This window comes from Homo sapiens, chromosome X (assembly GCF_000001405.40).
Source record: "Homo sapiens chromosome X, GRCh38.p14 Primary Assembly".
NCBI lineage: Eukaryota > Metazoa > Chordata > Mammalia > Primates > Hominidae > Homo > Homo sapiens.
In genome coordinates this window covers 6,763,937-6,790,251 of record NC_000023.11, presented here as the reverse complement: position 1 = coordinate 6,790,251, position 26,315 = coordinate 6,763,937, and the positions used below count along the sequence as shown (strand labels likewise).

General features: G+C 40.7%; 1 protein-coding gene across 2 annotated transcripts in view; it reads left to right on the top strand.

The window, feature by feature from the left end:
- PUDP (pseudouridine 5'-phosphatase) overlaps positions 1-26,315 on the top strand; it is a 442,316-nt gene that overhangs the window by 357,902 nt on the left and 58,099 nt on the right. Inside the window, exon 6 of one of the 2 annotated variants that reach the window (XR_007068202.1) lies at positions 22,541-22,745. The gene's annotated coding sequence lies outside the window, so the exon portion shown is untranslated. Of the gene's footprint in view, positions 1-20,583; positions 21,419-22,540; positions 22,746-26,315 lie in introns of those variants that run through there. The other variant, XR_001755734.2, reaches the window with a different exon arrangement.

The window sequence follows — 26,315 nt, the reverse complement described above, 5'->3', positions numbered from 1 at the left end:
TCCTTCTCCATCTATATATCATATCCATCATTCTATCCATCTATGTATGTTTGTATGTCATTATCTGTCTATTATCTGTCATCTGTCTTCCTTCTCTATCTACCTATCTACATCTGTATATATCTATCATCTATCGTCTTTCTCTATGATCTATCTATCATCTGTCTATATATCTTCTGTCTCTATTTGCTGATATATATCTATCTTGTATCTATCAATCATCTACCTTTTTTCTCTACCTATCTCTATGATCTATCTACTCTATCTATCTCTATGATCTATTTATCTATCTCTTTCTATCTATGTTCTATCTTCTCTATCTATCATCTATCATCTGTCTATATATCTTCTGTCTCTATTTGCTGATATATATCTATCATCTATCAATCGTCTTTTTTCTCTATAATCTATCTATCTCTATGATCTATCTTCTCTATCTATATCTATCTACTTATCTATCTATCTATCTCTCTATCTACCTACCTATCTATCTGCCTACCTAGGTATCTTAAATAAACAAAACTTCTACCCCACCTCTTTGATTTTTCCTCCTTCTTTCCTTCCCTTCACATCCTATATCCAATCGATGCTCAGGTTGTGCTGCCCTACCTATTTTCTCCCTAGCTAACCATCAGCGCTCCAGCTTGGGGGCCATGAGCTCTTATTCCTGGCCTGTCTCTCACTGCTTCCACTCATCCTCCCTTCTTTATTTGTTCACACTGCAGACTCAGTCACTTTTGGCAATAAGAAACACCTGCTTTTTAAAAAACCCTCCAACAGCTTCCCATTAAACTTGGGACACAATGCAAATTCCTTCTCAAGACCCCAAGGTCCCGAGTGACCCACATTCCCTGCCTATGGCTTGAACCTCATCTGTTTCTACTCTTCTTGCTCACTAGCCTTGGACTGCACTGTTGCTTCTTCTATTTATTTATTTATTTATTTATTTATTTATTTATTTAGAGACAGAGTCTTGCTCTGTTGCCCAGGCTGGAGTGCAGTCGTGCAATGTCGGCTCACTGCAACCTCTACCTCCTGGGTTCAAGCGATTCTCCTGCCTCAGCCTCCCTAGTAGCTGGGATTACAGGTGCCTGCCACCACACCCTGCTAATTTTTGTATTTTTAGTAGAGACGGGGTTTTGCCATGTTGGCCAGACTGGTCTCAAACTCCTGACCTCAAGTGATCCGCCTGCCTCAGCTTCCCAATGTGCTGGGATTACAGGCGTGAGCCACCGCGCCCGGTCTCTTCTGTTTAATTAACTGACAAATCCACCTTCTCTGCATCTGCATGGCTCTTCCACTATTCAGATGGTTTAGGTATCATCTCTCAAAGAAACTTTCCCTGAGCGTTTGTCGAGACTATACCCTCCACATTTATCTCCTTACTCACTGTGACCCTTTATTTCGTTTTGTGGATTTATTTTCCCCTTCAAGAGAAATAGCAAAGTGATAGAACTAACTTTTAAAAATATACCTATTTACTTGTTTTTTGTCTTCTTCTGCTTCAATGTACAGATGCTCCTCGACTTATTTTTATTTTATTTTTTGAGACAGGGCCTGGCTCTGTTGCCCAGGCTGCAGTGCAGTGGCACGATCTCGGCTCACTGCAACCTCTGCCTCCCGGGCTCAAGTAATCCTCCAGCCTCAGCCTCCCAAGTAGCTGGGGCTACAGGTGCATGCCACCATGCCTGGCTACTTTTTTTGTATTTTTTGTAGAGATGGGATCTTGCCATGTTGCCCAGGCTGGTCTGGAACTCCTAGGCTCAAGGGATCTGCCCACCTCGGCCTCTGGAAGTACTGGGATTGTAGGTGTAAGCCACTACAGCCAGCCCCTTCTCAACTTATGATGGGGTTATATCCTGTCATCATCAGTGGAAAATATCATGAGTCGAGACTGCATTGGATCCATCTAACCTACCAAACATTGCTCAGCCTAGCTGACCTTAAACTTGCTCAGAAGACTTACATTTGCCTACAGTTGTACATAATCATCTAGCACAAAGCTTATTTTATAATAAAGTGTTGACTATTTTATGTAACTTATTGAATACTGTCCTGAAAGTGAAAAACAGACTGGTCGCGTGGGTGCTCAAGGTATGGCTTCTACTGAATGCATCTCGCTTTTGCACCACAGTAACACTGAACAATTGTTAAGTCAAACCATAGTAATTTGGGGGTCTCCTAAGAGAGAGACTTTCTCTATCATTTCCATTGTCTTCTCCCCCCGACACTTTGAACAATTATCAGTGGAAATCTTTTGTTATGAAATAGAAGAACATAAAATTTGAGGTTATATATTAATTAGTATTTTTCTTTACTAAGCAGAGGCTTTGGGAACAAAATTACAGCCAAAATGTCAGAAATTATATGGGTCTGCTTTAGCAGTCATGAATGTATATTTTTCTAAGCTTTTGGCAGTGACTACAAAGATAATCCTTGAGTTCAAAGCTTAAAATAAAAGCAAACAATTTACCCATATGTATATAATAAGTTCAAGTATAAAAGTCAATTAGTATTTAAAAGAAAGTAATTAATGACCACAGTGTCTCATCCTCAACAGATAAGAAATTATGTTCCAAATTTTGGTCCCAAGTAATTGTGCTATAAAACATCAGGAAATTGTGAAAAATGTGCCAGGGAAAGATAATTACCTACAGTTGCATTAAGGATTGTATCAATTGGATTGGATTCAGCAGTAATGCCACCGAATTTTTTAAAAATAATATTCTACAGCACAGAAAGCACAAAAGCAAAACACAATATGACAAGAGACAGAGAAATGTGAAAATTGTCTTCAGCAATGGCATAGCAACGACCCTCTTCGCTGGGTGTCTGCCTAAATAGAGATTGGCATGCAATGCATTTTGCTAGGTGATCTGTACCAATGCACACAGCTACCAATAGCAGAGACACAGATGTTTCAGCTTCTACTTAGCAGCTAGCCCAAGGTCTAAAGGGTACATGTTTTGAGGGTAATAGAAGCAAGGAATTTTATGTTCTCTTGTCATAATTGATATTGTGGGGTTTTTTTTAGGCTATTCAAGATTCTGACTATTCCTTGGTTAATTTTTAATGGATTTTTGAGTGGCCCTCAAATCATTTCGGAGCTCTGTCTACTGAGATGAAATCACAGACTTCATGAACCATGGGAAATTTAACCAGTGACATGCTGGTGAGCCATTGTTCAAATCTTCCAATGTATTAATAAATCAACCGGAGACAGAGACAAAGGTCGGGGGGTGGGGGGAGAGACAGAGAGTGACAGAGAGAGGAGAAAGAGAAGTTCAAGACTGAACATGAAGGATCGAAGGATCTCTGGAAATGCCTCCCAGAGCAGTAAAGAGGAAAATATTGAAAAAACAAACAAACAAATAAACATGGGTTTTGAAAGAAATAGAAAAAGTTTCCATTGACTTTTAAAGATGTAGAATGTGGTGATGGAATATTTTATAAGGTACTGTGGAACAAATACCAGGGGTATGATGGATGTAATTCAATGCCAGCTATAAGCAAAAAGAGGCAGGAAAGTTCATATGGATGGGTGAAAAAGAGATGCCCAAATTTTCAAGCAGATTGGATAGTTTAATCTGATGCTCAGAAGAGTGAAATGTGCACTCCTAAACTTTTGAAAGTTTGAAAATACAAAGACTCAAGGTAGCATAGAATGTTTGCAATACCTGACATCTGAGCTAAGACGTGTTACCAACACAATGCCCCGAAAGAGTGGATGCTATTGCAGAGAAGAGGGATTCCATACAAAATAACAGACAACATTCATTCAGAGGGTTTCTTTTTCTTCTTTTCTTCTTGTTTTATTTTTATTTTTTTGAGAAACTGCTGAAAATTTCACTCAGAGGGCTGTAATCTGTGTAAGACAGGTCTCTTGAACTGAGATACTACTATTCTTCATGTGGGACTCATGATACTAAAAAAACAGATACCCTGTGGGTTTCTTTGCTAAGGTCTGATTCTGCTTCAGGGTTTGTAAATCCAAGACCCAGGACTGAGTATGTCTATCCCACTTCTGTGTTCCTGGTGCCAGGCATTCTGTTGGGCACCTAGTGGATGATTCATAGTTATTGAAGAAGTGAATGAAGAGTGAAATGGCACTGAGTTGACTATAAATGAGTCCACAAGTGACCTATAGAGTCAATGCTATGAGGTTTTAGAAGGAGAGAGAACAGCACATTGAGTATTACTGGAGGTGGTTGGGCTTGGTGGAGACCTTACATAATAGTTGAAATTTAGAGAGAAATGACCTGAGTCATTTCTCAGACAAGAATGAGCATGGTATGTTCAGGTTCCATCATACAGGACCTCAATGCAAGTGGAAGAGAAAGCCTCTCATTAACTTGAAAAAGAAAAGCATACATTGGGCAAGAATCCAGGGCCCTACCAATGCCTTGCCATCAAACCCATATCTGTTTATAACAAATGCTGCCCAATTTGTCTTTACATGTCAAATGGCTTCCTTATAAAGTTGCTGGGATTTTTTTGGTAGTGGTGATAGGGATAGAGAAGATATGAGAGTGACATATTATATAATATGTTTGCCATACTGCTCACTGCTTGTTGGAACATATTTAGGAAAAATTAAGTTAAAGCACCAGTTTATATAAAAGGGAATTAAAGTGTTTTTTTTTTTCTTATAGTAAACTTACCTAATGATTATGTTTTAATGGGAAGAAATAGAAAACGCGCAAAGTATGTGTAAGATTGGAATGCCATCCGGGGAGATAACACAATTAAGGTGCAAGAAATGTCAATTTCTATGAAAATGAAAACCATTAAAAAAGAAATATAATTTGAAGAAGAATGTTCAAACATTGAAATGTGAAATCTCTTGGAAACGAATCCCTGGGTAGTAAGGAAATTAGCTAATGGATTTTCTTACCTGTATGGAAAGCATTTGCAGAATAGAAGAATCTTAAAAACAAAATAAAATCACAGATAATGCAATGTAGTTTGATTCAGTAAATTTAAGTAGGCAGCTGTATAGAAAGAACTACTTCCAAAACTAGCTGGTGGTGACTATAAGCCACAACACATTTTAGGGAATTACCAGAATCAAATCGAATCAGAAATAATGAATTACTCATTGATGTGTTCAAAGGATGACAGTCAATGTGATCACGTGCGTCTCTGAGAGGGGAATTAAATTTAGTTATTCATGGAAATCATGTAAAAGATAACGTCGTGGAAAGATTCAGGGTTCTGGTTAGGGCTTGCTGAAGATGCTGTGTAGCGATTGCACTGGGTTATGTGGGGATGGGGGTTTTGAGTTTTGCCTTTAATTCTTTCCCTGAATTTGTCTTCATGTTCCTTGCCCATCCTTGCATGTGCATTATGGTGTATGCAATTGCTACCCTACAAAGACCTTCTTAGGTATTTATGATCCTGTTGAAAATGAAAGGCTTGTCTACACAGGTTGCACATTCATTTTCACTCTGCAGCTTGCGAAGATTAATCATTGATCTGACAAAAACAGTGTTCCAAGGAGTCAGGGTAACTAGGACAATGTTTGGATAGATAACATGTTAAGGAGGATTTTGACAACCCGTCAGGAAGCAAGTCTGTATTATTGTTGACTAAGAAATAGCTTTCTCAAGTCAAAGAGACTAAAGAAGTGGCTATACCCCTCAGATGCTGAGTGAGACAGAATTTATAGGACAACGAAGATGAACAGGTAATTCCTGCACCTTGGGTAAAGATTGCTGATGGTGCCAATGCTTCAAAGCTGGTTTCCCTTCGGTAGACTCTCCACCCTCTCAGATCTAGTAAATCAGTTTCCTGACATGTTCTAGGAGTAAGACCTAATTCTGGAGGGATGCCAGCCCTGACATCCAGGATCTATGTTGCTGAGAATGAATATGTGTCCCATAATGTCTGTTTGTATAATCCAATGCACACAACCAAGCAGCATAAAGCACAAACAACATTTGCACCCTGCTTGCAAATATAAGAAATGAACAGCAAGCCTCAATTAGACTCGAATGATGTGTACATGATCCAGTGACCAGAAGATGTTGATGTGAATGTATTTGTAAAACTTCTGCTGGAGGGCATCTAAACTAAAAAACAGAGACAATTTGCATGGTGGTTAGTTTTATGTGTTAACTTGACTGGGCTAAGAGATGCCCAGACAGCTGTGAAATGTATTTTGGGGTGTGTCTGCGCTTCCAGAAGAGATTAGCATTTAAATCAGGAGAATGAAGAAAGAAGATCCATCCTCACTTATGTAGATGGGCATCATCCAATCTATTGAGGGCCCGTGTGGAATAGAAAAGCTGAAGAAGAATAAATCTGCTCACACTTCTTGAGCTGAGACACCCATTTTCTCTTGCCCAGGGACACTGGCACGCTTCATTCTCAGGCCTTCGAACTTGGGCTGAATCATACTATTGGCTTTTCTGCTTCTTCAGCTTGCAGATGGCGAATTTTGAGACTTCTTGGCCTCTACAACTGCATGAGCCAAATTCTGTAATAAATCTCTTCTTATATATCTCTCTCTTTATAAATAGCTGTTTTCTCTGGAGAACCCTGATTAATACAATTCACTTCTGAGTCCTAACGGGAAAAGCACAGTTATCTCCAATATTCCACAAATTAAAAGTCCATTCATGACTTAATTTTTCACAAATTGAAAACATCACCACTCGTGTTCATTGCCTAATTATTGACTGGTGATTAGTGTGTACTCCTTCCCGGGACTCACGAAATCCAGTGTTCACTAAATCCTTCCATTACAGGAAAGAAGTCTCGATCCAGACCCCAAGAGAGGCTTGTTGAATGTCACACAAGAAAGAATTCGGGGCGAGTCCACAGTGCAAAGCAAAAGCAAGTTTATTAACAGAGTAAAGTGGTGAAAGTACAGCTACTCCATAGACAGAGCAGGGCGTTCCCGAAAGCTAGAGGAGGAACGCATCCACCGGTAGGTACAAAACTTGTTTATACATAAAATAAAAAAAAGATCATGGGGAAAAGTGCTCTGCTACAAGGGTTTGTGATAAAGGATTAATTTTCTTTATTACTACATTCTGCAAGAATCAATATTATTATCTTTAAAGCAAAATTAGGAGTGCTTCTGTTCTCAAGATATAGGGATATTGGACACTCCCAATTCCGGGTCTGTTTACTAAACATTATCCATCTGTTCCCTTAACTGTAAACATCTAGAGGCTAGGAACACCTAACTTTCTGGGAATGCAGCCCAGCAAGTTCCAGCCTCATTTTCCTAGCCCTCACTCAAGATGGAGCCGCTCCGGTTTGCTGCGTGAGGGTGGGAGTATGATAATATGTGCAAGACCTTAGGCCAATCTGTTTGTAAAAGATGCCCATGTTCTTTGCAGCAGGAGAGAAATCACGGAGAAATGATCTCATTCTCATAAGGCAAACTCAGACTTCCTGGTGAACCAACTGAATCTCTTCCTTTGAAAATGCTGGCTCACTTCATTGCACACAAAGCAGAGAAAATATATTAATTAAAGTTCCTACAAGTGTTACTTTTCAGACATTTTTAAAGATGTCTAAGTGACTGACATCTTCTAGACAGGCTGTTGGGTTTTGGAAGATTGGACATCAGGGGAGACCAATCGTATGGTGGAGGCCATTGCTCCATGTGCCCAGAGTATTGTCAGAAATCGTAGATGTGGTTATTTTATTTTATTTTATTATTTTATTTTGAGATGGAGTCTTGCTCTGTAGCCCAGCCTGGAGTGCAGTGGTGCGATTTCTGCTTGCTGCAACCTCCACCTCCTGGCTTCAAGTGATTCTCCTGCCTCAGCCTCCTGAGTAGCTGGGATTACAGGCACCTGCCACCACGCCCAGCTAATTTTTATATTTTTAGTAGAGATGGGGTTTCACTATGTTGGCCAGGCTGGTCTCAAATTCCTGACCTCAGGTGATCAACCCACCTTGGCCTCCCAAAGTGCTGGGATTACAGACGTGAGCCACTGTGCCCGGCAATTAGATGTGTTTTAAAATGTATCCAGGGATGGAGCTGTACTGTTCACAGGCGGGGTTTGTATTTAGAAAGGAAAAGGGAGAATCAACTACTAGGGCACCGGAATTTCCCGGCCTGGCATGAACCCAGGAGCACCCAATACTATCCGTGTTTCCAGGAGTTATGTCCACATTTCTAGCACTCTCCGATTTAAGCCCATGAGCCTAAATTATGTCTTAGGCAGTGTAGACACGATGTGGTTTTATAGGCTCTTAAACGTTCATATGGATAATTCAGAAAAAAAAATCCTCTTGAGAAAAGGACTCTGATAAGCGTTTCTCTTCACCAGGTTTGCCAAATCCAGGCAACACTGTGTCAGGTATGACCCAACCTGCTCAGGTACATAACCACCAAAAGAACAGAGTTTCTCAGCCTTGGCATTAGTAATACATTAGGCTGCATAATTCTCTGTTGTGTGCATTGTAAGATATTTAGTAGCATCCCTGAATCCATCCTCCAATAATCTAACAACTCTGAAAGTCCTAAAGTATTGCCAGGCATTGCTAAGGATCCCCTCTCTGAGAACTACTTCCCTAGTGGAATTATTTCTCCTGGAACTTTACAAAGGAGGCAAAGGATTTACTTAGGCTCATTAAAGCACTCCCCAGAAAGAGACTTCTATGGAGTCCATGACATGCACTTTCTGTTCTGAAAACAGAATCAAAAGCCAAATCAGGATTTCAGGTGTAGGCAGCTCAAAAACATACCTTTGATCCTTCAGAGGATTCTGAGAGGCAGGAACCTACCTGTTCCTTGTTTGTCCATGAATTACTTTCATCTCTGGGTCCAAAATTGGGAGGGAAAAAGTGTTTTGGAGAAGTTGCATGTAACTTTATCCCAAGAAGTCATCATGTGACACAGATTGATCATGTCAGAATGATCATAAAAAAAGAGTGCCGTAATGGGTGACCCATGGCCTTTTAGATGCGTATCCCTTGAGAATGAATCAAGTTTGTATTACCTGGACATATTAGAATATCAGACCCATAAAAGTTTGATGAATGAATATCTTTTACCACCAAGTCATGCCATGGTGTGATATGTGATTGCTGGTGTGATATGTGATTGCTGTTGCTGTTGTTATTGTTGTTGTGTGTGTGTGCATGTGTGTGTGTGTAGCTTGGCCAATGAGTAGTATTTCATCCTAATAGGTAATATTATAATGCTGTCCTCCCTCTTACTTGCATTTTTGTTGTTTTTGTTTTTCTTTCTTTGGAGACAGAGTCTCGCTCTGTCACCCAGGCTGGAGTGCAGTGGTGCCACCTCCTAGGCTCAAGCGATTATCCTGCCTCAGCCTCCTGAGTAGCTGGGATTACAGGTGTGTGCCACCACACCTGGCTAATTTTTGTATTTTTAGTAGAGGCGAGGTTTCACCATGTTGGCGAGGCTGGTCTCGAACTCCTGGCCTCAAGTGATCTGCTTGCCTCAGCCTCCCAAAGTGCTGGGATTGTAGGCGTGAGGCACTGCACCCGGCCTGTTTTTGGTGGTGGTGGCGGTGGTGGGGTGTGTGTGTGTGTGTACATGTTTATCCAGCCAGCCTCTCATCCTGAGATGAGATAATTGGGGAATTCATTCGCCATCATGCATCTAATGAGTTCCTGCTGCTACACGCCTTAAAGCCTAGGATGAGGACTCACTCAGGTGCAAAGCATCTCAATTGCAAATCAACTTTTTGGCTGTTCTGAGGGATGATCATTTGTCTTTTCCATGCAAACCATGAAGCCTGTATTGGACCAGCCTATCCCTGCCTTCTTTATTTGGTGAGAATCCATGGAGCTATTTTCAGTGATACAGTGTCTTGACTGACTAAAATGTTTATATCTATATCTAAATATATGTGTATACACTTAAACACTCTGTAGTTTAAGTCTGTGAGCCTAAATCATGTCTTAAGTAGTGTAGACATGGTGTGGTTTGATGGGATCTTAAAAGTTCAAATGGATAATTCAGAAGAATTATATATATAATATAGATTATACAGTCTTTTGTGTGTGTATATATGTATATACACATACACACACACATATTCATAGATACATATGTGACGCTGATCAAGAATGTGTGTATGTGTATATGTGTGTGTATGTGTATATATGTGTGTATATATACAATATGTATATATACATATATACACAAACAAAGGATTTTTTCCTTTGCTTTTCTGAATATGCCTAATATTTTTGAGGTTTTAAAGAGAAGAATGTGTCTATCTATATTTGTTTCTTTTTAATGGCATTTTTGATACAAGTACAAGAACATGCTATAGAACTTCAAGAGGGAGAGTTTTCTTTCCCTTGACTTTATTTTCATTTTTGAATTTTTTGAGATAGGGTCTCTCTGTGTTGCCCAGGCTAGAGTGCAGTGGCGTGAACATAGCTCACTGCAGCCTCAGACTCCTGGGCTCAAGTGAACTTCTGCCTCAGCCTCCCAAGAAGCTGGGACTATATGCATGCCACCACACCCAGCTAATTTTATTTTTTTTGGTAAAGGCTGGATCTCACTATGTTGCACAGGCTGGTCTTGAACTCCTGGGCTCAAGAGATCCACCCGCTTGGTCCTCCCAAAGTGCTGGGATTAAAGGCATGAGCCACTGCACCCTACCTTTTTCTTGACAATAGAGTAGCTCCATGGTCATGCCTTAAGCTGCAATGCCGTTATGTCAAGTGGGGAAACCTAATGTAATCTACCTGTCAGTAAGCCTGGTCCAAGGGCAGTTGAAACGCTTGGAATCTGAGCTTTAGATTAGGGTTGGAAGTCCAAGAATGTAGAAGTGAGTCAACGCAAGCACAGAAAATGACCATCTCTCCTGGTCGACAGGCTCAGTGGGTGCCCACTTAGAAAAGACCCTCTGTCTTTATTGGGACCTTCTGTTCTGTTTCTCTCTGGGGCACAGCAAAGCTTTGCTTTCACACTGCTTTGCTTTCATACCCTCGGCACAGCACAGGTCTTCTTTTGTGGCATGCTCAGAACTGCAGACATTCCTAACATTCACAAGGAGGATGAATGAAAAATTATTGAGTTTAAAAATAAAGGCCATTCTGGAGCATGGGAAGTGGACATGGACGGAGGTCTGTGAACCCCCGGCGGCGTTCTGAATGAACCCTGTTGTTGGATTGCCGCATTCCCCTCCCCCTGCTCTTTGCTTTCTCATTGCCTGTGCTAAAAATAGCAAATAATTAGCAGTGGTCACAATGCTCGCTCTTATGCGCACCTAGTATATTTCAATCCTGCTGGAGCCCTTGTGCCATGCTCTGGTTCGAATTGGCTTTCCCATTTGGTATCCAGAGAGCTAATTCATTTTGTGGCCGCACTCCTGCATTCTTGATCAGTCTTTGACAACGAACACTGTCTGCATAACAAATGTGTCTTTCTCAGGCTACAGCAACTACAAGAATGATTAACATGAAATAAAGGCTCCAGCTGGCACGCTCTCCCCGTTCTTCCACGGGTACCACTGTTTTTATTTAACCCTGCATTTGTCGGCTCTGTGGGAAATGGTCTTTCTCTCTCTATCTCTCTTTCTCCCCCCATGCTGAGTTCAAAACTAAACAGGGGTCCCCGGCCTCCTCGGAAGCCTCAACTTCTGCGGGCTCCCTCTTGGAGAGCTGCCTGCGGCACTCTGGATGCAAATGATTATTCACTCTCTGCTCCCTGACATTTCCTCAAGTACTGCATCAAAAGGGGCTGAATCACACATCCCGTGTCTTGCAGGGAGCCCCAAGTCACCATGTTTCTCCCAGGCTGCAGGTGACATGCAGGGGAACTTGAGGAGTGTTAATTCCCTGGAAATCAAAGAGGGCAAAGCAGCAATGCTCAGGGTGGCTGGCCTTGGGAGCTTGGCCCAAGGTTGCAAATAGATTTGCATGCCTCGTCATCCTGGTTTTTCAGCTCAGTTTCTTCGTTGGGGATGTATAGATACCCTATTCTTTACCAGAGTGTGGGTAGGTCCTGTTCCAGATAGAGGGTGTTTCCAAGACTTCCCTTTCGGGACTGCCCGCTTAGCAAGTCCTACCTTTGAAACTTTGGAGAGAGAATATTTCAGGGACGTAAGGGGGCCAGCGTGTCTATAAAAAGGCATAGAAGCTTCCTTCTGCTCTGATGAGCAGTCTGTCGAGCTGTTTCCACAGCCCCCTTCTCATTTTCCCTCATTAAAACATGCCAACAGCTTCTCTTATCTGCCTCGGAATAGTCTTTTCAAAATGCATCTTTACTGGAAAAAAGAGTACTTGTAGCCTGGGTTCGTGGCGGGGGGACAGGTATCTTTCGAAGCTATTAAAGCAGCACTATAGTAGACTATTGCTCATTTGCACCTCTCAAAGTCTACAAATTTTCCTAATTCAGACAGAAAACCGAGGCTTTTTACAGTCAACTGGTGAAAATGGATAGCCTTACCTGTTTCCGGGTAGGTGTCATAGTTTCTATTTAAAGTTTCCATGTAAGTATAGACCTTGCTATAAAGGTTCAGAAAGGAAGAGGAAGTATCAAATAGATCCTACAGTGTGCTACTGTATCTATCTGCTTGCTTGTTGACTTGTTTTTCTGTTTCTCTATTGCCTCTTCCCCAAAAAGGATTTGAGGCAAGCTCTGTAAAGATGGATGCAATGGAATCGGCACATGGCTTAAAATAAAAAGGAAATAGAAAATAAGCCAGAAATATACTATTTACAAATTCTGCCTAAGGTGAACCAACTCCCAGAAATTTAAGGAGTGCATTCATACAGTTGCAAAATATGCATATGTGAATAGTAAAGCTTCTGCAGATCCCTAAAGAATTCAGAGCAAATAATACAGCTTAGGTCAGGCTGATGAAAGCCACGGCTCAAAGCAAATGAGGATATTTCTATTGGGGGAGTCCTCTGGGAGTGAACTTTTCAAAGCACTGAGCCTAGTTATAAAAATATCTCACATGTTGTATTGTGCTCGGCAGTTACAAAGGGCTTTCTGCACAAGTTCTATCATTATTATCTATACCACTAAGTAGGTAGGGTATTTTTACCCTTAAGGTGTAGGTACAGAAACTGAGGACTGATAAATTAAAAAGCTGGGCAAAGCATCATAAATAGCAAGGAAGCAGTGAGACTGGAAATATATAGCATCTATTTCTCCTGGATTGAGAGAAAAATTAACCCAGAATTGGTGATCCAGCAATATTTGCAATAGAATAAAAATAGCCAATAACCCATATTGTCTTCCTTGTTTGTGATGAATGAAAGTATTGGTTTTCCCTCCACAGAAAGAGCTCAGATCCAATGAAGTGGCCAACACAGCATAAAGATAAAAATGTCTAAACGCTGTAATTTGGTAATTATGATTCTGAATTTAACTCAAGGAAATATTCCGAGATGTGTGGAAATATTTATTGTCAAGAGTATTCATGGAGTATTATTTGTATTTCATAAAAAATGGGAAAAATCAAATGGCCCCAGATATAATGATTAAGTGCATAGTGGGCTTGTTTTATATTAAAAGATTACAAGTAGATGTTAAACTGTGTTTTCAAATAATAGTACAGGATGTGGGAAAGTGCGTATGATATAGGGTGAAGTGAAACTATTGCAAATTATAAAATTATATGTGGAGCATCAGTTCTCAAACTTTAGAATCCCCTGGAGGGCTTGATAAAATAGGTAGTGACCACCATCTGCCTCCAGAGTTTCTGATTCAGTCAGTCCAGTGTGGGGACCAAGAAACTGTGGCTTTGTTTGTTTGTTTGTTTTTTGTGATGGACTCTTGCTCTGTCACCCAGGCCGGAGTGTAGTGGCGCAATCTTGGCTCACTGCAAACTCTGCATCCCGGGTTCAAGCAATTCTCCTGTCTCAGCCTCCCAAGTAGCTGGGACTACAGGCTCCCACTGCATGCCTGGCTAATTTTTGTATTTTTAGTGGAGATCGGGTTTTGCCATGTTGACAAGACTGGTCTCAAACTCCTGCCCTCAAGTGATTTGCTCACCTTGGCCTCCCAAGGTGCTTGGTTTACAGGCATGAGCCACCATGCTGGACCTAGAAACTGTGTTTCTAATAAGTTCCTAGGTAATGTTGATGCTATGGGTTCAGGCACCCCATTGAATTAAATACATGTGTATTAAGTGTGTGAATAAGGCCGTCCTTGGTTGCAGGATAGTGCTGTCCACACTTGCTGGTGATCGCACTCAATGGGGAACCTTTAAAAAGGTATAAATGTCCAGTGACGTTCTCCAGTGAGAATGTAAAGTGGCACAGCCACCGTGAGAAAGGGTTTGTCATTTCCTCAGTAAGGTGAAAACGGAGTTACCATATGTCTTAGTCCTTTCTGGCTGCCATAACAAAATGCCATAGGCTGGGTGGCTTATAAACAGTAGACATTTCCATCTCACAGTTCTGGAGGCTCAAAGATCAAGGCACCAGCAGATCCAGTGCCTGGTGAGAACCCGCTTCCTGGTTCATAGACGGGGCCTTCTCGCTGTGTGGTGGAGAAGGCACATGGTGGAAGAGGTGAGGGAGCTCTCTGGGGCCTTTTTCATAAGGACACTAATTCCATTCATAAGGGCTCCACCCTCATCACCGCTCATCACCTCCACCCTCATCACCTAGATCATGTCCCAAAGATCTAAGTCACCTCTTATAGCTCCATCTTGGGGGTTGAGATCTCAACGTATGTATGACTTTTGGGAGGACAGAGACATTCAGTCTATGGTACCATATGAACCAGCAATTACACTCCTAGGCATATTTTATATACATATATGTGTGTGTGTGTGTGTGTGTGTATGTGTGTGTATATGTGTGTATCTATCTATCTATCTATATCTATCTATCCATCCATGCCCCAAAAGATTAAAAACAGGTATCCAAAGACATGTAAATGAATGTTAATAGCAGGGCTCTTAACAATAATCACACTTGGAAACAAACAAAATGTATATCAACAGATTAATGGATAAACAAATGTGGTATATCTATACAGTTGAATAGTATTCAGCCATAAAGAGAAATAAACTACTAGTGTATACTACAATATAGATTAAAAAATTAGACTAAGTGAAATAAGCTAGACACAAAAGACCACATATTGTATCACTCTATTTATATGAAATATTCAGAATAAGAAAAGCCATAGACACGGAAAGTAAATTAGTGATTGCTGGGGTCTGAGGATGGGAGCAGGGAATGAGGAATGACTGCTAACAGGCACTGGGTTTCCTTTTGGGGTAAAGAAAAAAGTGATAGTTGCACAACACTGTGAAAGTACTAGAAGCCATTGAATTGTACACTCTAAAACAGTTAATTGAATGTTATGTACATTTTGTCTCAATATTTTAAAATGTCCAGACAGCACCCTCAAGAGATTCTGATATCATAGTTTGGAGAACAGGCATTCATCTTTTTAAAAAGCCTCCCAAATGATGCTAATGTGCAGCTGGGCTTGACTTAAAACCCCAGATCTGGTAGGATTTCAAACAATAGTCGCAAAGGCTGAATAACACTGAGTGTTTATTTGGTGTGGTTCAGTGAAGCACAAGGGAGCTTGGAAAGATGGAAAGATCAATTGCAATGGCTGGATTCTTAGCACTTTGCTAACTGTGTGTCCATGAACCAGCCACAGCAACCCTACCTGGGAGCTTGTCAGAAACAGAGACTCTCCAACCCCACCCTTGACCTCGTAACTGAGACCTACCTTTTCATAAGATCCCTGAGGTTGACATAGGCAACAAAGCTTCAGGAGCACTGGAGAGGTTGTGTAGCCTTTCCATCATTGTGTTTTAGGAAACGTTATGTTGCTGAGGTACTATTGCCCACCCTGAGACAAATGGCTTGTATTGTCCAAGTGGTTTAGAAAATGTTGGTTGGAAGAAAGTTAAAACATAGTCATATATTTCAGGATCTCTCTGCATCTTTGAGAAGTTCCCATGATGCAGGTCAGGCAAGCCACAAAGTGGGGTTTAATCCCTGAGGGTTCTTGGCTGTGTCTAGGAAATAATTGAAGGGCAAGCTGGAGGTAGAAGAAAACAGCTTTATTGAAGAAGCAATGTTACAGCTCCAGCTGTGTTACAGCTCTGTGACTTTTCCTGCAGAACGGGATAACACTGTAGGCAGAGAGTGTCACATTTATGCCCACTTTTTTTGCTGTTGTTTCTGAGATGGAGTCTCCCACTGTGGCCTAGGTTGGAGTGCAGCGGCAGTCTCAGCTCACTGCCAACTCTTCCTCCTGGGTTCAAGTGATTCTCCTGCCTCAGCCTGCTGAGTAGATGGGATTACAGGTGCCCACCACCACATCCGGCTAATTTTTGTATTTTTAGTAGAGACAGGGTTTCACCATGTTGGCCAGGCTGGTCTCAAATTCCTGACCTCAGGTGATCTGCCCACCTCAGCCTCCCAAAGTGCTGGGATTACACGTGTGAGCCACAGTGCCTGGCATATACCCACTTTTAATTTCCTGCAGATTAAGGGGCAGTTTGTGCAGAAATTTCTAGGGAAGGGGTAGTAACTTTTGGGTCATCGGGTCATTGCCATGGAAAGGGGTGGAAACTCCTGGGTGTTGCCGTGACAATGGTAACTGACATGGCACAATGGTGGGCATGTCTGATGGAAACCTGCTTCTGCCTTGGCCCTGTTTTAGCTACTCCTCAACTTGGTCCCATGACCAAGCTTTGCCTCTGGTGTTGAGTTCTGTCTCATACCCGACCTGGACCCAGCAACTCTCCACTGAGTATTGTCTGGTTTGCTGTGCAATCACATCCCAAACTATTTGAAAAAGGAAACTCCTTTTAAAGGACCACCTCATGACCCTGACGGACTCTAGTGATCTGCAAAGTACAATGTGGGAAACGCAGCTCCAGGATCTTCTGGGCCCACCAAGCCTCAACTAAATGTTAGAAATTATCTTGAATTTGGTGAAACTTTAAGGGCAACCCTAAATTTCAGTACCCAAAAAGATGGAGTGTGAAGCAGTGGATTTCACTGAAACCTGTATCACAAAGCAAGAGAAAATGTGGAAAAGAAGCAGAGTCCCCTGATAGCATGGCTCTTTTTCATTGTAGACCAAAAAGATTTTGAAGTTTCATCCTCAGAGTTAGAGTAACTTGAAAAGCCAAGACAGCACAACCAACATGGAGCATGTTCCTGAGAAATTCCCAACTTTCCACTCATCTCCAAACACCGTGAACTTTTCCATCTAAATTTTCCAGGTTACATTTGTCTCAACTAATGTCTGAGAAAAACTTTAAGATGTGATTTTCAAATATATCCTGAGATGACTTAACTACTGTACTAAATAAAGCTATCCAGATGAAAAAGAAAGCTTGTGAACTTGTGGAAAAAGCTTCAACTATTGCCCTTCTAATCAGATCAACAGACTTGTCTTTTTTTGTCTTTTTGTTTTTTTTGAGACAGAGTCCCACTCTGTCACCCCAGCTGGAGTGCAGTGGCTTGATCTTAGCTCACTACAACCTTAATGTCCTGGGTTTTTTGTTGTTGTTGTTTGTTTGTTTGTTTTAATTTTCTGCTGTAGAGATGGGGTCTCACTTTATTGCTCAGGCTGGTCTTGAACTCCTTGGCTCAAGTGATCTACCCACCTCGGCCTCCCAAAGCGCTGGGAATACAGGCATGAGCCACTGTGCCTGACCTTCTTTTTTTTTTTTTTTCCTTGTCTGTATTTCTCTGAAAGTCAGATAATCCATACTGAAATTTGTTTTTCTGGGAATGGCTGGAAATATCAACATAATTTTTAAACTGGTGCAATCTATTCAAAAAGTTAGGTAGATGGGGACCTCAGAGTTGAAAGATGAATATGGTTATAGTGTTGAGGTGATGGAGAATGATTTTCTCTGTTCTGTGTCTCAATCTGTTAATATGAGTTTATAGATGAGCTGCTGACTCTGCTTGTAGCCCCTTAAACCAAAGGTGCCCTTAGCTTTCACGTCTGCTGAAGACTCAGGAATTGATTAACATAATTATTTTGGAAAACTGAGGAAAAATTTATTTCATTGTAATATAGGAAAAAAAAGAATTTCCAGCCCAAGCCCACATTTCTGAATTCAGTTAATTTCCCTAGATTTAACTGCTACATAAAACAAGTGATTCACAAGCAAATTGTGCTAATAAATGAGGAGACAAAAGCAAATGAATGCAAGAGGAGTGATGTGCACTGTGATTAGGATACAAGGCATTGCCCCAAACGTTTTTTAAAAAGATTTTACTGAGGGAAAAAAATAACATCTGTGGTTTTAATTCCTGAATAGAAAACAAATGTCAAGGTAGTTTCCATCCACATTTCACTTGGTTCTGCATCACCAGAATGGTGCAGGATCTTTTTGTTGAGGGTTTGGAGGGACTAGAAAACTACAGCCTGAGGGCTGAATCCAACCTATACCACCTGGTTTTATAAATAAAGTTTTATTGACACACAGCTACAGCCATTCATTTACAGATTGTCTGTGGCTCCCTTAATGCTACAACGGCAGAGTTGAACGTTTGCAACAGAGACCAGAAAGGCCTAAAATACCTGGGTCTTTGCAGAAAAGTCTGCCAATCCCTGGCCTTGAGTAATTCTGTGTATTAAGTCATTTATGTACACATTTCATGATCCGGAGAGTTTAATGCCAAAGAAGAACAATATCAGATCCATCTGTGATGTCAATAAACATAAGCCAACAAGTAACTATTGAGTTTTCTTAACTCTTACAACCCAATTCTGAGAATCTATTATGTGGAAGGCAAGGTGAGGGTTAGGAAGATGAGGAAAACTGTTCTTGCCTTTAAAATGGTCTAATGGGTGAGAGGCAAATGACTACTAATTTGAGTTGCGGACATGCTCCAAAAGAGATATTCACAAAGTTCTATATTGGGTGATGGATTAAAGAGGAATATAACCAAAAGCAGTCCAGTAGTTGCACAAGACTTCCTAAGGGCAGTGGTGTTTGGGGTAGTCTTCAAAAATGAAATGCATAAAAAGGAGATAATTCCAGCGTGCAAAGAAAGGAAGCTTGTCAGAAGGCCATGGACGTGCAGGTGTTGAAGTAGATCTATTAAATGGGTTTCTGGAGCAGAACAAGACTTCTAGGTGGCACGTTTCTTTCCATGGGGTCATCTCTCTGTGCATTTCCTGTGACTGTGCAATTCCCCAGGGCTCTGAGCCTGGTATGTGTGTCAGAGAGCAGTGGGAAATAAGGCAGATAGGAATGAACTTGAATGGGGGCAGATTTTACATTCCTGACTGAGGAGTTTGCATAGAACTCAGAGGAAGAGTTTCAGAGAGTGAAGCTACAACTTATTTGGAATGATTTAACTTTTCTATATGACTGAGTTGGATTAGAAGGGGGAGAGGTTGACTTCTTCTTCTGTCAGGGAAATTTTCCATCTCATGATGACTTCTGTCATGAGATGATAGGGTGTCATCATCTTTTCCTCATCATTTGAAACGTAATGAGAGATATTTGCTTTCAGATGGGTCTTCTCTTCAAATTCACCAGGCAGCCCAGCATTGCATATCTGTCGGTCAGGTTCTGAATAATTTGTTGGCTTTCTATTCTTAATGCAGATGGGCACCATGTGGATGAATTGGTGGTGTGAAACGCTGTTTGGGAGGAAACAGCCCCAGCCCAAAGCCGGCAATCCTATGTATCTCCTTTCTTGCTGGCCTATCATAGGACAGGTGTGTTTCTTACAGGTTAGTTTGCATTAGAGAATGTGCAGCTGTGTGATGTGTGCTGACTTTCTGTAGATACCCAGGCAGCAGGTCATGGATCCATCACAAAGCCATAAAAAAACAAAAAACAAAAACAAAAAACAAACAAAAAAACCAAGGCTTCTGGCTCCATCCCTATCTGCCTGCATGGTTTTGACAAATTATCTTACCCCATTGGGTCTGTGGTTTCTTAACTCTGAAACAAGGGGTCAGCAAAATATTTTCTGCAAAGGGCCAGATAATAAATGGGTTCAGCTTTTTAGGCCACAGCATCTCTGTTGCATCTACTCAACTCTGCCATTGTAGAAGAAAAGCAGCCACAGACAGGCATGCAAATGAATGTGTGTGGCCAGATTTGGCCAGCACAATGCAGTGCATCCACCCCTGGACTAAATAACTCCTCCGGCTCCAAGAAGATTGTATGATGGGAAGTCAAGAGTAGAAAGAAACACAGAATGTGCTTGAGCTTTTCATTTTCTGTAATGGGAGAGAGCTCCTTTTTGTAGAGGGAAAGGCTCTGAATGGGGCCAGAAACAAAATGAAAATGGAACTCCATTGTGGGAAGGGGTTCATTTAAGTCACCCTAGTCACCTGTCCTTGAAGCTTGTCATGACTGAAACAGACTGTAGGGCTTTGCAGACCATCTGCAGAACAGACTGCTTGCAATTTATCCCCCGTTTAGGTTGTTCAGACCCCACAGTGCAAACAGACCCCAGCACATGACTGTAAACAGTTTCTTTATATTAATATTTTCTCGCCATCAAAATTGCTATTTATTTAAGTACGATTGAGAGCCCAGGCGCTAGGCTCACCCAGAATCCAGTCCAACAGACTTGATGAGCTTGTGATTGTGCTATAAAGCAGCTCTCTAAGCAATAGGAAGATGCAGCAATGATAACGTACCTTTGCAATTTTCTCAGATACAACAAAGCTTTAAAGCACGAAAAAGATGAACTCGAAACACCAGTGACTGGAGGAACCATGACAACACAAACAAGAAGGAAACAAGAAAGAAAAAGCATAATCCTGGTTTTTGTGTTCTGAATTGTGGATTTGAAATGGAGGCTCCCGTGGCTGCTGACAGCCTGCCTTGATGCTGCTGATGTCTGGGTGATGAACAGTCATGGGTTTCCTCCCACCTGCCTCTGTGGATTAATGAAGAGCAAGGCAGGAATGGCAGACCTGCCATCTGGAATGACCTTACCTGATAAGATTGTTCTGCCTTCCCCGCCAAAGGTGAGGAGGGCTTTCAGGATGCAGGAGACTGTTTTCCCCACAACTTAATGAGAAAAATTGACCTGTTTATTCACCAGCTGTCTTCTTTGTTTCTAATCCAAGCAATTGCTGCAAAATCTTTTTCACTTCTTCCATGTTGAAATTGAGCAGAAAGCCCCTCGAGTGGCTTATCTTTGGCAGACAACAAGGAATCAGGTTGGAGGAGTCACACAGACTCGCTGGGAGACACATGGAATGGGAGACCAGCAAATATTTACACACTGTGTTCAAGATCCATTCTTAGAAGTGTGAGCATAATTTATGTGACATTTCGAGCACTGTGCCAGTGAGCGCCTTCTCTATGTACAAAATGTGCTACTTTCGTTGTGGCTGTATCACTTTTGGTGGAGTGCAGCCTTTGTGAGTTTCAATGGTATGGCGGCCTTTTCTCTGGGGCTTGAGTAAACACCACCACGGAAAGCTATTGTTTTACTGTGTGAGCTAGTGTTTTCTCTATAAAACTCGTAAAAGTGTGTTCTACCTGTTGTGAACTTCTTGCTGAAAACTGTTTACTTTTGGAATATGCATATATGTTCATAAAAAGGGAATGAAATCTATTGGGGCCCCCAAACAATGACAGAAATCAGAATGTTAAAATAACTCCAGCAATCTAGATATTTCCTGTAAGTTTTCTGTGAATTCTGGATCTTACAATTTTTAAAAGACTTTAATTTTTTTTTCTTTTCAAATCTCCCTCTTCACAGAATGGATCTTGCAATTTTTAATATCTAAAAGAATTCTATAGATAATAACAGCCAACATCAATAGCCTCCACAGTATTCAAAGGGCATGATATGTATTTACTTACTTAATTTTCCCTACAATCCTGAGTCCGAAATTATCATTATAACCATTGTAGCTAACATACCCAAGCACACACAGAAATTAAGTGGTAAAACCATTGAGTTCAGGCACTGTACTTCAACTGCATGTTCTTAAATCCTATGCTACATTTGGCAGAACTGTGGTTTGTCCACCTTGGCACCAGTGACATTTGAGGATGGATGAATCCTTGTTGTCTAGGGCTGTCTCGTGCACTGTAGGATATTCAGCAGCATCCCTGGCCTCAACCCATCAACTGCCAGTGCCATCCCCACAACCCCTCACTGTAACAACCCCAAATGGCTCTAGAATGGCCAGATGTCCCCAGGGAGAACAAAATCGCCCCTGGTTGAGAACCGCTGGGTAGAGCTACCTAAAATTCCAACATTGGATTATTCTTAACCTGCAAAAGTGGCAATTTCAATTGAACTTTGTCCAATTGAAGTCTGTTCCTGGTCAAGCTTCCCTGATAGACTAGTTTTTCAGATGGGTTCAGAAGGGTGTTGAGTACATGGGAAACGAGAGATCTGGAAGGGCTTTGCAAACCCCAAAACTCCAGTATGTGTAGCAGTCACAGAGACACCCCAGATTCGGAATAGACTGAGATGAGAACCAAGGAACTGATGGAGTTTGAAATTACTTCACTTTAAAGCACACGTGCAGGTTAATTGCTGACAAAGAAAGTTGCAGGTGGGCATGGAAAGCTGGAGAGGGGTTCAATGCAAAGTTTCTTAAAGGCTTAAACCAATAAAACTCGAATCCCATTCCTCATTCTCCAAGGAGCCCACTCCATTATGAAAAAGAACTTCAAGCAAATTTGAATCTTTCTTCACTGAGTTCTAACATACTCCAGACCTGTATTGTGGAAGCTCTTCCTAAAGTCCATTTGTGTGGAATGACTGCGCTGCTATATCCCATCGTGGGCAAAGGATACCTGCTATGAAGGGCGAACTGGCATCAAGCCTAAGTCTTCATTAAGAGCAAGGTAAGACCATTAAAATGTGTTTTTATTTCTGTATGGCCATGTATTCCACATTCGCCAGCGACTAATGAGGAAGATAAAATAAAAAGCAGCTCCCCTTCTGTGAGGTGTCCATTCAGGACATTGCAGGGCCTCATTAATGAACTAGTGCTGTAATAAAGCAGAAATATACAAATGGCAGCACTGACACCCATAAGCCCTTCCTCTGGCAGGTGCTTTACAAACAGTAAGGGAACTGACTCTCCTTTTGTTAGCAATGGACCCAAACGCATGCCATGGTTGACCAGATTCTTTGTGTATCATTAGCTTAGCTACGCTAAATAATTCCACTAAATAATTCCACTGCCTTACAAGGCTGGGCCTATTCAATGCATTAGGGTACAATTTTTCTAGTTACGAATGTCACCTTTTAAAATATGGAAAATACAAAGTTAAGAAAAACCTTGTAAATTCTTATCAACTTGCCATCACTTCTTACAGTTTAAAAAATTGGTATGGACCATTTTAATTAATGTGACATGTGTGTTTGTCCATCTCATTAAAGGTCCTTTTTGGGTTGCTATTGTTGCTGGTAGCTTTATTCTTTTATTTTAATTAAACATTTTATTTTGAGATAATTAAAGTCATGTAGTTGTAAGAAAGAATACAGAGGGATCCTGTGTATTTTAGTACACATTTACATGATGTTCTTGAAATGGCAATACTATAGAATTGCAGAACAAATTAGTGCATGCTGAAAATTAAGGAGGGGAGGGCAGGAGAAAAGTGAGTATGGCTTTAAAAGGACAACATGAGAGATCTTTGTGTGGATAGAAATATCCTATATCATGATTACATCAATTACAGTATCTTGGTTGTCATGTTGTACTAAAATTTTATAAAATGGTACTATTCCTATTTTGGATATCTATAGTGTTTTAGTTTATGTCTTTGCGTAACCTTCCTTAGTAATTTCTCTAGATGCTATATAATATATTCATAACTATCACAGTCTACTGATGTCACCATTTTACCACTTCTAGTGAATGTAAAAACATCACTTCCCTTTACCTTCCCCCATTTATAATTATCTTAAGTATTTTTCCAGCAGATGCATAGAACCACATCAAACAAATGTTCTAATTTTTGGTTCAACCCTCAAATATGGTTTAGAGTATCCCAGATAAGAAGGAGAGCATATTTATTTACCCATAGTTTTGCATATTGATTTTCCTTCCTGGCACTCCAAGATTTATTCTGTTATCATTTTCCTCTATATAAAGAACTTCTTTAAACCATTTGTTCTAGGATAGGTCTGCTGTTGACAAATTCTCTTAGATTTTCTTCATTGGAGAACGTCCTGATTTCCCTTTCATTCCTAAGGGATATTTTTACTGGATATAAAGTTCTGGGTTGACAGTTTTTTTTTTAAGCATCTGAAAAATATTGTGCCACTTCCATCTGTCCTCCATCAATTCTGGTAATGAATTTGCTATTACTTGAATAATATTTTTCCCTAGAGGTAAGGTGTTGCTTTCTGTGGCTGCTTTCAAATTTTTTGTGTGTGTTTGGTTTCCAGGAGTTTCATTAAGAAGTGTCTTGGCATGGATTTCTTGAGATTTACCCCGTTTGGCCTTCACTCAGTTTTTTGAATCTGTTTGTTTATGTCTCTTGGCAAACTTGGGAATTTTTTGGCTACCTTTTCCTTGAGTACTTTCTCAGCCCCAACCTCTTTCTCTTCTTTTTCAGGCATTTAGCTAGTTGTTTTATCCCTAATTGTTAATTACAGCTCACATTGCATGCCCAAAGAGGGAGGCTAGGGCTGGGTGGACTTTCTATGATCTTTCTGTATAAAATATTTTGCTATCACATCTCAGTCATTTCTCACTAATGTTTTTAAGGTTTATTGATAACATTGCTTATTAGTGATTTCAGATGAATTTTAGAAAGAAAATCTGACAAGTTCCTGAAAATATTTACTAAAGTTTCTAATTGTCATTGTAGAAATCGACATGATAGTATGAAAAATGGACATAATTAAAATATTTGTAATTTGAATCCTGTGACGTGATTTGTTTATCCTGTTTATGCAAGTCTAATTTTATATTGCTCAGTTTCAAGCAGTTTAACTTAAGGCTTTACGATTTTCTAGACAGGTTTTACATATTTCTTGTTAAGGTTAGTTCTAGGTATTTTCAGGGCTTTCTTTTTGTTGTTGTTGTTGGTTTGTTTGTTTGTTTGTTTGTTTTTTGAGACAGGGTCTGGCTCTGTTGTCTAGGCTGGAGGGTAGTGGCGTGATGTTGGCTCACTGCAACCTTTGCCTCCTGGGCTCAAGCCATCCTCTCGCCTCAGCCTCCCAAGTAGCTGGGACTACAGGTGCACACTACCACACCCAGATAATTTTTGTAAATTTTTTTTTTTTTTTTGGTAGAGGTGCAGTTTCACCACGTTGCCCAGGCTGGTGTCAAACTCCTGGGCTCAAGCGATCCTCGTGCCTCGGCCTCCCAAATTGCTGGGATTACAGACGTAAGCCACCACACCTACCCATATTTTCAGCTTTAATTGATATTGGGATAGGTCCTTTTCAGATAATATTTTAAAACTAGTTTTATTGTGTATATGGAAATCCTGTTGCTTTCTTATATTTATTTTACATTTAGCCATTTATTAAAATTTGTAATTAATTGCTAGTTGTTTATCAGTAGTAGTCAGTATTTTTTCAGTATGTTCCTTGTGGATTTCTTACCTCCTACCACAGATGCCCAAATTTTAGCCACAAAACAGATTCAGGCATATTCTGAAATATGCCTAATAAATAAACTTGCCCATAGTCAATAATTTTGATGAATGTTACATTTAAATTCATCATGTGCTGATTCACATTCATCGTATCGTACTAAAGGCTTTGAGAAGTCCTGCATTTAAGGGTCCAACTAGCCTTGTTTAACCCACTGTTTCTGACATGCAAGCCATACATATCAAAAACCCATGGAAAATACATAGAAACCCTACATACACTGCACTTGTAGACAAGTGTTTATAGTCTTAAAATGTAAAGAAATCTTACAAAGCAGGACCAACATGATAAATTCCCACAATAGAAAGATGGGGAACTGACAGAAGAAACCCACAGGGCCAATAAGCCATTTTCACTCAGCAAATTCACCAGGCCACAGTTATGTCCAGGGTGGCCTTTGTTTCTGATATTCCATTTCAACAGCTGCCTTGCACTGAAATTTGAATTCTTTATAACCCGGGCTGCCAAGACCACGATGGGGTGTCTTCTGCTTTGCCTCCTGCTTTGCAAAGCAGTTAGTCCCATCAATCTGATTCTCTGTCGACTTAGCAGGGATCTCTCTGCCTTTACCATCCTATTTCGTGATGCCAGCATGGTTTGATTACTTTCTGAAGGTCAAGCAAACCAAGGGGTTATTTTCCTGGTTAAAATCCCTACTGGATATGAAGATGAAAAATTTGCTGCACTCTAGATGAGTGAGAAAAATAGATATGGATTATTTTCTAGCTCCCAATGCTATGATAAAGGGTTGAAACAATTCTAGAAAGAGAAAGACACCAGCCAATAATTTTTAGTTG